At 43.2% G+C, this 12,045-nt stretch overlaps 1 protein-coding gene across 10 annotated transcripts in view; it reads right to left on the minus strand.

The window, feature by feature from the left end:
* ALDH18A1 (aldehyde dehydrogenase 18 family member A1) overlaps positions 1 to 12,045 on the minus strand; it is a 50,771-nt gene that overhangs the window by 30,982 nt on the left and 7,744 nt on the right. For 5 of the 10 annotated variants that reach the window (NM_001017423.2, NM_002860.4, NM_001323415.2 and 2 more), the window contains exons 3-5: positions 6,070 to 6,284; positions 365 to 514; positions 171 to 275 (exon numbers count right to left, since the gene is read on the minus strand). The exons of 1 other annotated variant lie outside the window; for it this stretch is intronic. In NM_001017423.2, the coding sequence (NP_001017423.1) occupies positions 171 to 275; positions 365 to 514; positions 6,070 to 6,284 (470 nt within the window). The remainder of the gene's footprint in view (positions 1 to 170; positions 276 to 364; positions 515 to 6,069; positions 6,285 to 12,045) is intronic. 4 more of the 10 variants (NM_001323412.2, NM_001323418.2, NM_001323416.2 and 1 more) reach the window with 2 other exon arrangements.

Here is a 12,045-nt window from a genome sequence, read left to right on the forward strand (position 1 = left end):
ATTTTCAGATGAGGAAACTGAGGCACAAAAAGGAAAAGAAACTTTCTTCAGATCTCAAGTAGCAAGTGATGAAGCTGACACCATATTCCAATAGTCTGGCTCCAGACCCCTTTGTTCCACAACAACCACCCTCACAGGTCCCACACCCATTTCAAAGCCCAGCCTCTCACCTGGGCAGCACAGATGCTGTACTGGGTAAACATAGCCTCATACAAGGCCATCAGCCCACTCTGTCCGGCAGCTGCACAGGCTCGTGCCTCTAAGACTGGAATTGCCTGTAATATACCAATGAGACAAGGTGTGGTAGGGAATGAGGGAAGAAGACCTGAAGATCCATTTCAATGTGTGGGGAAGCAGCACTCACCATTTCTTTCAGCTGGTTCTGCCCCGAGTGGAGGGCCTGCCGCACGCTCTGAGACAGAAGGATCTCATGGCGCAAGCGTTGTTTGCCAAAGGCTACGGCTCCACTGGTCACCAGCATCATCTCTCTGCCCTGATTCTGCAGCACTGATACCTGGGCATTGAGAAAGGAAAGGGGACTGTAAGTTACCGTACTGTCTCTTTCATCTCTTCACAAGGGATGGAGGTAGGGTGGGCTATCGAGTAGATCCCAAATGCTGGTTTATGAACCAGCATGTGGCTGGCTCTGGAAGAATCAGCCAGATTGGTAAAAACACAGATTCCTACATCCTGTCTCAAATTTCTATTTAGCAGGTGGCAGACAAAAATCAGACATTTTAATTTATTTTTTAATTAAAACAATTGGCTGGGCATGGTGGCTCATGCCTGTAATCCCAGCACTTTGGGAGGCCAAGGCAGGCACAATGCCTGAGCCCAGGAGGTTCAAGACCACCCAGGCAACATGGCAAGACCCAATCTCTACAAAAAGTACAAAATTTAGCCAGGCATGGTAGTGCATGCCAGCTACTTGGGAGGCTGAGGTAGGAGGATCACCTGAGCTCAGGGAGGTTAAGACTGCAGTAACCCATGATCGCACCACCACACTCCAACCTGGGCAATAGAATGAGAGAGATGCTGTCTCAAAAACAACAACAACAACAACAACAACAACAACAACAACAACAACACCCTAAGAAAAAAATTTTTTTAAGGCAGAGTCTTGCTCTGTCGCCCAGGCTGGAGTGCCGTGGCATGAATGTGGCTCACTGCAGCCTTGGCTGCCTAGGCTCAAGTGATCCTCCTGCCTCAGCCTCACAAGTAGCTGGAACTACAGGCTCATGCCACCATGCCCAGCTAATTTTTCTTTTTTAACACATTTTTGTAGAAACAGAGTCTCACTATGTTGCCCAGGCTGGCCTCAAACTTCTGGTCTTAATCCATCCTCCTGCCACGGCCTCCCAAAGCATTGGGATTACAGACATGAGCCACCATGCCTGGCCTAAGTAAGACATTTTTAATGAGGAAATTCTGGTGTGTAGCCAAGTTTGACATCTATAGGACTTGACTGTATTAGGTTGGTGCAAAAGTAATTGCAGTTTTACCATTGACAGTAATGGCAAAAACCACAATTACTTTTGTGCCAACCTAATATTTGCAGGGAGTGTGTAATGCAGAAGGCCTAGTTCCTCCAAGAAATGAAGCCCAGAATAAAAGTCCGCAGGTAGGAAATGCAACGCAGACTCAGTAGATGGCTTCTCAGGTTCTAAGGCTTAACCCGGGTAAAGGAGGCTGTTCTGGTGGCATGTCTAATCCTATGGGTTGCCTCTGCCTACACCAGGGGCACATGCTGACCTTGTTCTGCTCTGTCTGCCCAAGACCAAATGCGGTCACTTTGTTTCCTACCTTAAGCAGACCTACATGAAAAAATTAAAGACTCAAGATGTAATAAAGTCAATATTCCTAAACTGTCCTTTCCTTCTGATGTCTGAAACCTTTTAACTGGTCCAGCTGTTTAACAAACAGCTATGATAAACCATGATTTAAAACAATAATAACTTTTTTTTTTTTGAAACACAGTCTTGCTTTGTCACCCATGCTGGAGGACAGTGGCACAATCATGGCTCACTGTAGCCCTGACCTCCAGGACTCAAGCAACCCCCTGACCTCAGCCCCTTGAGTAGCCACCTTGGCTTCCCAAAGTGCTGGGATTACAGGTGTGAGCCACTGTGCCTGGCCCCGACAATAATATTTTATCACAGAAAGTTTCAGCTGGCTGAGGTGGGACGACTGCTTGAGGCCAGGAATTCGAAACCAGCCTGAGCAAAATAGTAAGACCCCATATCTATGAAAAATTAAAAAAAATAATAGCCAAGTAGCATGTGCCTGTAGTCCCAGCTACTCAGGAGGCTGAAGAAGGATCCCAACTGAGCCCTGGAGTTCAGGGCTGCAGTGAACTATGATTACACCACTGCATTCCAGTCTAGGTGACAGAGCAAGACCCTCTCTCTAAAATAAATAAAAAGAAAAAGAAAAAGAAAATTTAATACTTAACCAAAGTGCTGAGAATAGTATTATAAATCCCCATGTACATACCACCCAGTTTCACCAACTATCTCTCATGGCCAACTTCCCACTCTCCAATAACCCCTCTATACCCTCACCATTGTTTTAATACAAATTCCAGGCAACAGACATGTTATTTCATCTGTAAATAGCTCAGTAATAACTGCTAAAAGATAATCATATATATTATATATAATATATAATTATATGTCTTTCTCTCTCCACAAATCCATTATCTGGAATATTTCAATGATTTCCTTCATATCAAATAGCCAGTGTTCATATTTTTCCAATTTTTTTTTACCTTGCTCAAATTGAGATGCAAATTAAACCCTGCATTACAAATTAATTGAAGTGTCTCTCAAGTCTCTTTCATTCATGGGTTCCCTTCTCCATCAGTTTTCCCCCTTGTAATTTTTTGTTAAACTGAGTTGTTTATTCTTTAGGATTTCCCAGCCTACATTTTCCCAATTGTGTCCTTATGGTATTAATACTGCTCTTTGTATACCCTATAAACTGCTGTTTGGTATGAAGGCTTTTTTTTTTTTCCCCAACAAGTCTTTATAAGTTGTGGTGTACATGTTCATCAAGGGGATACATAATGCCTGGTTATCTTTCTTTTTGTGATGTTAGCATCTGTTGATGATCATTGCCAAGATCCATTATTCCATTAGGAGATGCAAAATGCTGACACTCTAACTCAATGATTCCTTCGTCATTTATAATCTGGAATAATTCCAAAAGGGAAACTCTCCTTTACCAACTATTTGGTTACCCTGAGGTACAGTTTGTCTATGAAAAGCAGGACAAATGTGTGTCTCTTCCCCTTTACTCATCCATTTTCAATATGAGTAGCTTCTCTAGTGGCCTCCAAAAATGGCCAATGAAGTTTTTTTTTTAAGTATAATTATGAACTCATGGATTTAAACATATTTTGTTGTATTGTGCAGTGATTCCCTTTTTTCTTTTTTTTTTTGAGACTGAGTCTCACTCTCGCCCAGGCTGAAGTGCAGTGGTGCGATCTTGTCTCACTGCAACCTCCACCTCCCAGGTTCAAGCAATTCTACTGCTTCAGCCTACCAAGTAGCTAGGATTACAGGCAGGTGCCACCATTCCTGGCTAATTTTTGTATCTTTAGTAGAGATGAGGTTTCACCATGTTGGCCAGGCTAGTCTTGAACTCCTGACCTCAGGTGATCTGCCCACCTTGGCCTCCCAAGGTGTTGGGATTACAGGTGTAAGCCACTGTGCCCAGCTGTGATTCCCTTTCTTGATGTTTACATCATCCCATTTATGGCCAGTGGAAGCCAGTTTAAGTTGGCTCCTGAGTCCATCTGACATGATAAGATGTCTATTAGTCAGGCCCTGATGGAGACAGCTCTTCCATTAGGTCCACACGCAGCCCTAGAAAGAAAGCTGGTAACCTACGCAAACCTTTACCAGGTTTTTCCTACCGTTTTCATCAAGTTTCTCCTCCGTTCAAAATCTTCAGCCTGCTTTTGAGACTGAACTCCAACTCACCTAGTTGGCTTCAGAGCTCTGCCTAATGGAATGATCCACTTTATTTTTCATTCTTCCTAATGAGACCACCACCTCTGCTTTCCAGCTTGTCTCCTCCCTGGCCCACAGCATGCCATACTCATTCCTGCCTGTCCTCTACCTGGAATACACTCCTAGAGCCTGTCCCTTCCCCAGAACCACTGGATTGCACAACTGCAGGGGCACCTCACACTGTGTACTTAGTAGCATGGAACTTTTCCCCTCTGTTTGTGCAAATCCCATCAGTTGTCAAGGCCCAGGCTGAGTTCCAGCTCTCCTAGGAAGCCCCAGGAACAACCATACTCTCATCTGAGTTTCCCACCTCTGGACCCATCGCTCACTGTCATTTGGGCCCACTTATTTGGATATTTACTGCCCTGAACAGTCACCTTAATGTGTGGGGAGTCCCAGTTCTGGCTCGCAAAGGGTAAAGACTGTTATGTTTCTAAGGTAGAGAGGGTAGAGAGGCTAGTGCCCCTCACAGTGTAGTCTCTTGATAAATATTTTTAAAATTTATCTGATGGACTCAATCTGGGAGGTGGGTTTGATCATTGCTGTTGTTCTGGGTGTTTTTTGTTTTTTTTTTTCTGCAGGGGCGGGTGGGGGGGTGGTCAGGGTTTTGCTCTGTTGCCCAGGTTGTAGTGCAGCGACTTTATCACAGTTCACTGCAACCTTGAGCTCCTGGGCTCCAGCAATCCCCTTGTCTCAGCCTACCAAGAAGTTAGAACTTTTTGAGACAGGGTCTTGCTCTGTCACCAAGGCTGGAGTGCAGTCGCATGATCATAGCTCATTGCAGCCTCAATCTCCCAGGCTCAAGCAATCCTCCTACCTCAGCCTCCCGAGTAGCCGGGGCCACAGGAACGTGCCACATGCCTGGCTAATTTTTAAAAAAATTTTTGTAGAGATGGGGGTCTCACTATGTGGCTTAGGCTGGTCTCGAACTCCTGGGCTCAAGCAATCCTTCTGCCTCAGCCTTCCAAAGCGCTGGGATTACAGGCGCAAGTCACCACACCCAACCGATTTTATTTTTGTAGAGACAGGGTCTCACTTTGTTGCTCAGGCTTGATAATTTAGAATAGAAAATATAAGAAAAAAATTGTATCAAGTTTCAGGTTAGCAATTTCCCAATATTAACACCTCAGGAACTTGTTTTTTAAAAACTGAAAATTTAATTACAAGGTAGTGTAAGATTTCAGCTGCCATGGAATAGCTCTTGCTTTATCTGTGGGATGCCTGGATGTCTGGATTTTTACTTTTGGCCAAATCTGGCATGCTGCTGGTTTTTGTAAATGAAATTTTATCAGCTCACGGCCACGCTCATTCATTTATATATTATCTATGGTTGCTTCTGCAGAGCTGTGTAGTTGAGACAAAGACCATATAACCTACGAAACTAAAATATTTACTATCTGGCCTCTTGCAGAAAAAGTTTGCAGGCCCAGCACTTTGGGAGGCCAAGGTGGGAGGATCACTTGAGCCCAGCAGTTGGAAACCAGCCTGAGCAACATAGCAAGACCCCTGTCTCTACGAAAAATACAAAAATTTGCTGGGCATAATGGTTTGTGCCTGTAGCTGCAGCTACTCGGGAGGCTGAGGTGGGAGTATCACTTGAGCTCGATAGGTCCAGGCTGCAGTGAGCCATGATCATGCCACAACAGTCCAGCCTGGGTGACAGAGTGAGATCCTCTCAAAACAAACAAACACAGCTGCTTCATCCCAGAGATACTTCTTAAATGGCTAGGTGTGAAGCCCAAGCATCTCCAGGCCCAAGATGATTCTACTGCGTAGTCAGAACTAAGAATCTCTGACAGAAACAGCTCTTTATCACTAAGAAGTCTGAGACATGAACTGCATGAAATCACCCCTACTCCTTAACATCCCATTTTCTTGCCCTAAGATGTCGTCTCTCACTGGCGTCTACAGTGGGAAACAGTTTTCACATTGGGTTAAATCTACTGCACTGAAATCACAATTATTTTTTTAAGTTGATGAGCAACTTAAACCTAATCTGAACTAGCGACTTAAAAACCCAATTTTAGTACAGCATAATTTCTATCTTGGCAATCACCTGCTCAACAATAGATGCCAAGCGCCCCAGGGCCAGGCCACATTCATCCCCTCGGGTCACCACGGCACTGCCGAGCTTCACCACGATTCTCTTGGCATGCTTCAGCTCACTGCGGTGGGCGAAGGACTTGCCATGTGTACGACTGAGGGGTACAGTGATAAACGGGATGTTGCTCCAAGAACGAACATGTCTGATGACTGAAGGCTGGATACAATCTGTAGCCATCAAAGTCAAATGCAAGAAAAAAAGAAATACTCAATATAGTTTTTCAATAAAAATATACATGCTCAGTATTAACCAGTTTAGATACCAAAAAATAGCATTATCATTATTAACTGTGTAAAACTAGCACAGTGTATCAAAAGCTCTATCTAGCGTATTCTTATTTTAGTATTGTATGGAGTTTACACCCAGTATGCAGGTCATAGGCACACTCAAATGCTGTTGGTGAAGAGTACAAACAAATTAATCTCTCTTGAAGACAGGTTGGCAAATTTATCGAAAGCCTTAAAAAAGTTCTCTAAAAAAGAGATTTATCAGAAAGCTATTCATCACTGTTATTTATTATCAGAAAAATCAGAAGCAGAGTAAATGTTGGATAAAGGGAAAAAGATTAACATTTTTAGAATTTTTAATAATGTAGAAAAATACATGTTAATTTCATATACATGTATAAACACATAGATGGATAAAATTAATGAAAAATTAATATTTTATCTCTTGATAGGATTATAAGCAATTTTAAATTTTCTTCTTTGTTCTTTCTTAGATTTTCCAAGTTTATGCAGTAAAGATGCATTTTTTTTTCATAATCAGAAAAATATGGGTGTTTCTAAAGAAACCATATTACTATAAAAAGAGGAAAAAGCCGGCCAGGCATGGCAGCTCATGCCTATAATCCCAGCACTCTGGGAGGCCGAGGCAGAAGGATCACCTGAGGTCAGGAGTTCGAGACCAGCCTGGACAACATGGTGAAACCCCGTCTCTACTAAAATGCAAAACTTAGCCGAGCATGGTGGTGGGCACCTATAATCCCAGCTACTCAGGTGGCTGAGGCAGGAGAATCGCTTGAACCCGGGAGGCAGAGGTTGCAGTGAGCCAAGATCGTGCCACTGCACTCCAGCCCAGGCAACAGAGCAAGACTCCTTCTCAAAAAAACAAAAAAAGAGGGAAGAGCCTGATTAGCAAAGACAGTAAAGAACAAAGTAAGTGTATGAATAATACAAAATCTCAACTATTCTACCTACAATTTCTCTCTTTGATGAATCCAGATGCCTGTAACAATGATCAAAGAAACCAGACAGCTTTCTGAAGGAAAAGCAATGTTAGAGTCAGATACTTTCTATCCCCTTGGACATCTGCCTCTAACCAATTCTTTCCTGATTCTTTTTCTTGTAACACTGTACAAGATTACAGATAATTTGTACAGATGAACAAACAAACAAAAATTCTACAAGATTTCTAAGGAGGAAAAAAATCTTCATTAAAAGCCAAATAGATACCTGCATAAAGCCAAAAGTAAAAGAGTAAAAGCTGAATGTCAGGCACAGAACCCCTTCAATACTTCTTATGGGCCCAACACCTCCTGCTTAGCTGCTTACTACTTACCCATTCGCCCTTTCTCACACAATTACCAGATCCCCAAGTATTAGCCAGGCACACTGCCACCAGTCGAAAGACTACATTTCCCAGCCTTTCTTGCTCAGGTAGACAGGACAATGTGACCAAGTCTGGCTAACAAGATACATGTGAAAATGTTATGTGGGATTTCTAGGAACTTAAAAGAGACATGCTTTCTTCCCTTCATCCCCACTGCTTCTTGGAACATGGGTATGAAGGCTGGAGCTCATTCATTCATTTTGGACTAGAAGGAACTGTGAAGCAACAAGAAAGAACGAGCAGGGATCCCTGATGGATTTCACAGTGCTATTCTGGAAGCCCTGGACTGCCTACCTTCTTGCAGGGCTGCTAGGCTTCCTTCAGGAGAAAGAGAGAAAAACATTTCTATCCTGTTTGAGCCATGAATATTCTGAGTTTCCTGCTACATGCACATAATTGTAACTGACACAGAAGGACAATGAGTGCATAGGCAGATGGACTGTGTGAGGCCTACATGGGAGATAAGATGCTGTCAATCAGTGGGGGGTAGAGGAGCACTTAAGCAAATAGACGTTCCTCCCTGATAGCAAGAAGCAAGACAAGGTGGGTAACATAGGTTCTCAGCAGGACTAAGCTTTAAGCAATTCCCTGGAAAGACTTTTCTATATCTCATTACAAGCAACTCATAAATATTTGAATGAATTACTAAAATTATCATTCCAAGCCACCTTTTGAACCACTGTTCTATAACTTTATTAGAGAGTTAACTACCTTCACTTGAACCACTATCACTTCCCTTTATATTGTCTGTCTATAAATTACAGACAATTTTCTCAAAATTTCTTTAGACCTTCTGACTATCTCCTGGCCGCTAACTCACTCCCTAACCACAATCTACTGATGGTGGGTAAAGCAGGCAGGACCTTATTCTCATGAATGGGAAGGCGACTATGGGTTCTCCTCCCTTCCTGCCTCCTTCACACACATATCTTAGAAAGAACATTTCTAATGAAGTAATAGTCATTTCTGCCTTTCCTTAAATAACCGTTTTTCAAGTGACTATGTTTCAGGTTTGTGGAGATATAAGAAAGATAATATGATTTTTTTTCACAACAGGCTTGGCATCTAGATCCTGGCACAGAGCTGCTTGGTAAGCCATCATCTGGGATGGAACTGGGATTCCGATGGCATTGCTGGATCCACAGGTGCACGGTCTCTTCCTGCTGTGGGAGTCCCTGGGACTAAAAGACTGGTTTGTTGTTGAGGCTAAGTTTTATGGAGTGCTACTTTCCTTCATTGGGTTAATTATTAATAATATAGGTACCCTACTCTGCTTTCAGGAATATTATCCTAAGCAATATGTACAACTAAGTCTTAAGTTTAAAAGTTGTATGCCTAATGGTTTGGTCTTACTGATCTGCCAGAGAGAAGGGTGGTGGAGGGACAGGCTTACTCCCCTAGGGTTTGGACCAGGGATCATCAGTGGCTGTTTGCAGAGCTTAGAGCTATGCCAAGTATCATGTATTATCCTTTTGGTAGCTGTCAGATCTAGGCTTTCTGGCTTTCTCTCCTGTCTGCTGGAGGGCCTATCCTGACCTGGAAGGGTGGTGAGCATGGGTGGAGCAGCCTGAGAGGGTACCTCAGGAACACAGGCAGTGGCATGCATGTCTGTCCAGGTGATCAAATGGTAGAAGCCAATCAGAATCCAGCAGCCAGGCTAGCATGAAGGAGGCTAACCCACAGTCTGTATCAGGAGAAGAGGGTGGGTCGCATGGTTCAGTGCCAGGTAGTCAAGGGTCATTCTGGCTGGAGACAATAGGGTAACAGCAGTAGATAAGGCCTGTTAGGGTTCAAGAGGAGGTCACCACTAACAACAAGGTTTCATGCAGTTGACTCAGTCAAATCCAGTAGGTTCTAGCACAAAGGAGAGCTTCAGGGGACTCAGGGCTTGTTGGGTTTCCTATTGAACAACGCCTTTTACCTTCCAAGGCTGACCCTACCTTTCTTGGGGGTATTTTTTTAATGTTCTACAATGTATTATACTTGTTAGGGTCCATATTGAAAACTGAGAAGGCCTTGATTAGTTAGGAAAATTCAAGGCTTCTAGAGAAATAATTGTTTCCCATCTTCTAAGGAACTTTTAGGCTCTAAGTTCCAAAGAAAATCTGTCCCCTCTTAGTAGGTATGAGGGCATACTGAAGTGTATGTGTGTACAGATGTGGCATGGTGGGGGATGGGAGGGGTTGTCCATGTTCTTCTTAAGGGCCACGGATTATACTCTTACCACTCTGACAGAGGAGAACCCTTTACTTCTTCAGCATCAGAATCCTTATGCCCAGTAACCAATGAGGCTGTGTTCCAGGCCTCAACAAGAAGGGACCCAGACATGACTACTCTTTTTCTCTCTGGCCTTCCATTGCCTTCTCTGTTTATCTCCACAAGCGTTCTCATTTTGCCTTTCTTTTCTTTTTTTTTCCCTCTGCTATTCTGCTTATCATGGTCAGTGAAAGAGCTCCACGTTCCAGAAAAATCCAAATCCCCAAATTCAAAAACCTAGGGAAACAATTAGAAAGTGCCTCCTTCTGTGAATGAGTCTAATGAGGATAAGTATCAATAAAAATACTGAAGTGAACACTTACTATATACCAGGAGTTGTGCTAAGTATTCATACACCTTCTACAGGAGTAAAAAGGACAAGTGTTGGCTCTGGAGCCAGACTGCCTGAGTGAAATTTCAACCCCTTCACTTACTTGCTGTCTCCTTAACTATCTCATAAGGTTGGTAGGGTGGATAAAACAAGTTCATGCATGAACAGAGATTGGCACAAAATACTCAATGAATATTAACTGGTACTGTAAAAAAAGTGTTACTTACTGTGACATGACATATATATCCATGGTCCCTGGCTTATAACTCTAATAATCCTTTTTACAGTCTTTTGTTATAATGTTGGTGTAAGGAAACAGAATCTCTCTGGTATTCTCCTGAACTCCTTTCACCTACTCAAGGCAGGACTCTAATTTGATTGTGGGTTGTAAGACCCTCAGTCCAGAGAGGGTCCTGCCCCATACCTTGGAGGAAGAAATATTGCACAGGAAGACCAAGACAAAATCTGAACAGACAGGCCTTGCTGGGTTACCCCACTCAGTCTATTAGTATCAGGTCACATTCTTTTTGTTCAATCACATTTCGACACAGTTGCCCATGCTTCAATCATGCCTATCCAATAAGTCTCCATAAGAGGTCCAAGGGGACAAGGTTCGGAGAGCTTCCAGATGGCTGAACATGTGGAGGTTCCTGGAGGGTGGCGTGCCCCGGAAGGGCATGGAAGATCTGTGCCTCTTACCACACACCTCACCCTACATATCTCTTCATCTGTTTCCTTTGTAATAAATTGGTAAATCTAAGTGTTTCCCTGAGTTCTCTGCATCACTCTAGCAAATCAATCAAGCCCAAAGAGGGTACTGTGGGAACCCCAACTTGAAGCCAGTCAGTCAGAAGTTCCAGAAGCCTGGACTCAGGACTACTAGGAAGATGGGGATGATCTTGAGGGACTGAGCCCTCAACCTGTGGGCTGTCCTCAGGGAGACAGTGTCAGAATTGAATTGGAGGATACCCAACTGATGTCCACTGCAACCCCGTACATTTGGTCACAGAAGTCTTCTGTGTTGATTGTTGTTATGGAGTGAGAGCAGAGGAAAAATAGTTTGAGCTTTTCCATATTCTACCTTCATCATCATCATCATCATCATCATCATCATCATCATCATCATCTTACTGAATTCTCATGAATTAAGCCTCATAAGTTAGGTATTATTATGAGTTCATTATTATTATTATCCCCATTTTATAAATAAGGAAACTGATGCTCAGAGTAACTGAGTAATTTACCAGCATTGCCAGATTACAAAAATGGCCACAATCCTTTTGCAGCTTCTCCATTAACAGGTGAGTCAATCTTCCAAACTTCTTAAATTTGAGCTGGCCCCGTAACTTGCTTTGACAAATGTGGCAGAAGGAACAGTGCATAAATTCTGAGTTTACATCTCAAGAGGACTTGTAGCTACCATGCTTCCTGTTCTGGGGACCCTGCAAGCATCATGCAAAGCAGCAATGAACAGCCTGCTGGAGAATGAGAAGCCACAGGGAATGTACATGATGTATCATCCCAGCAGAGGCCCCTTCATCCCCAACAATCAGCCCTAAGTCAATCTGAGACCTGACACAGACACAGAACCACTGTGCAGCTGAGCCCAGTCCAAAATACCATCCCACAGAATTGTGACCTAAACAGACAGTTGTTTTAAGCTACGAAGTTACTTCATAAGCAGAAGGGCTAGTTTTAAAAACCCAGGAACTGGTTCCAAAACCTGAACT

Source organism: Homo sapiens, chromosome 10 (assembly GCF_000001405.40).
Source record: "Homo sapiens chromosome 10, GRCh38.p14 Primary Assembly".
In the NCBI taxonomy this organism is placed as follows: domain Eukaryota; kingdom Metazoa; phylum Chordata; class Mammalia; order Primates; family Hominidae; genus Homo; species Homo sapiens.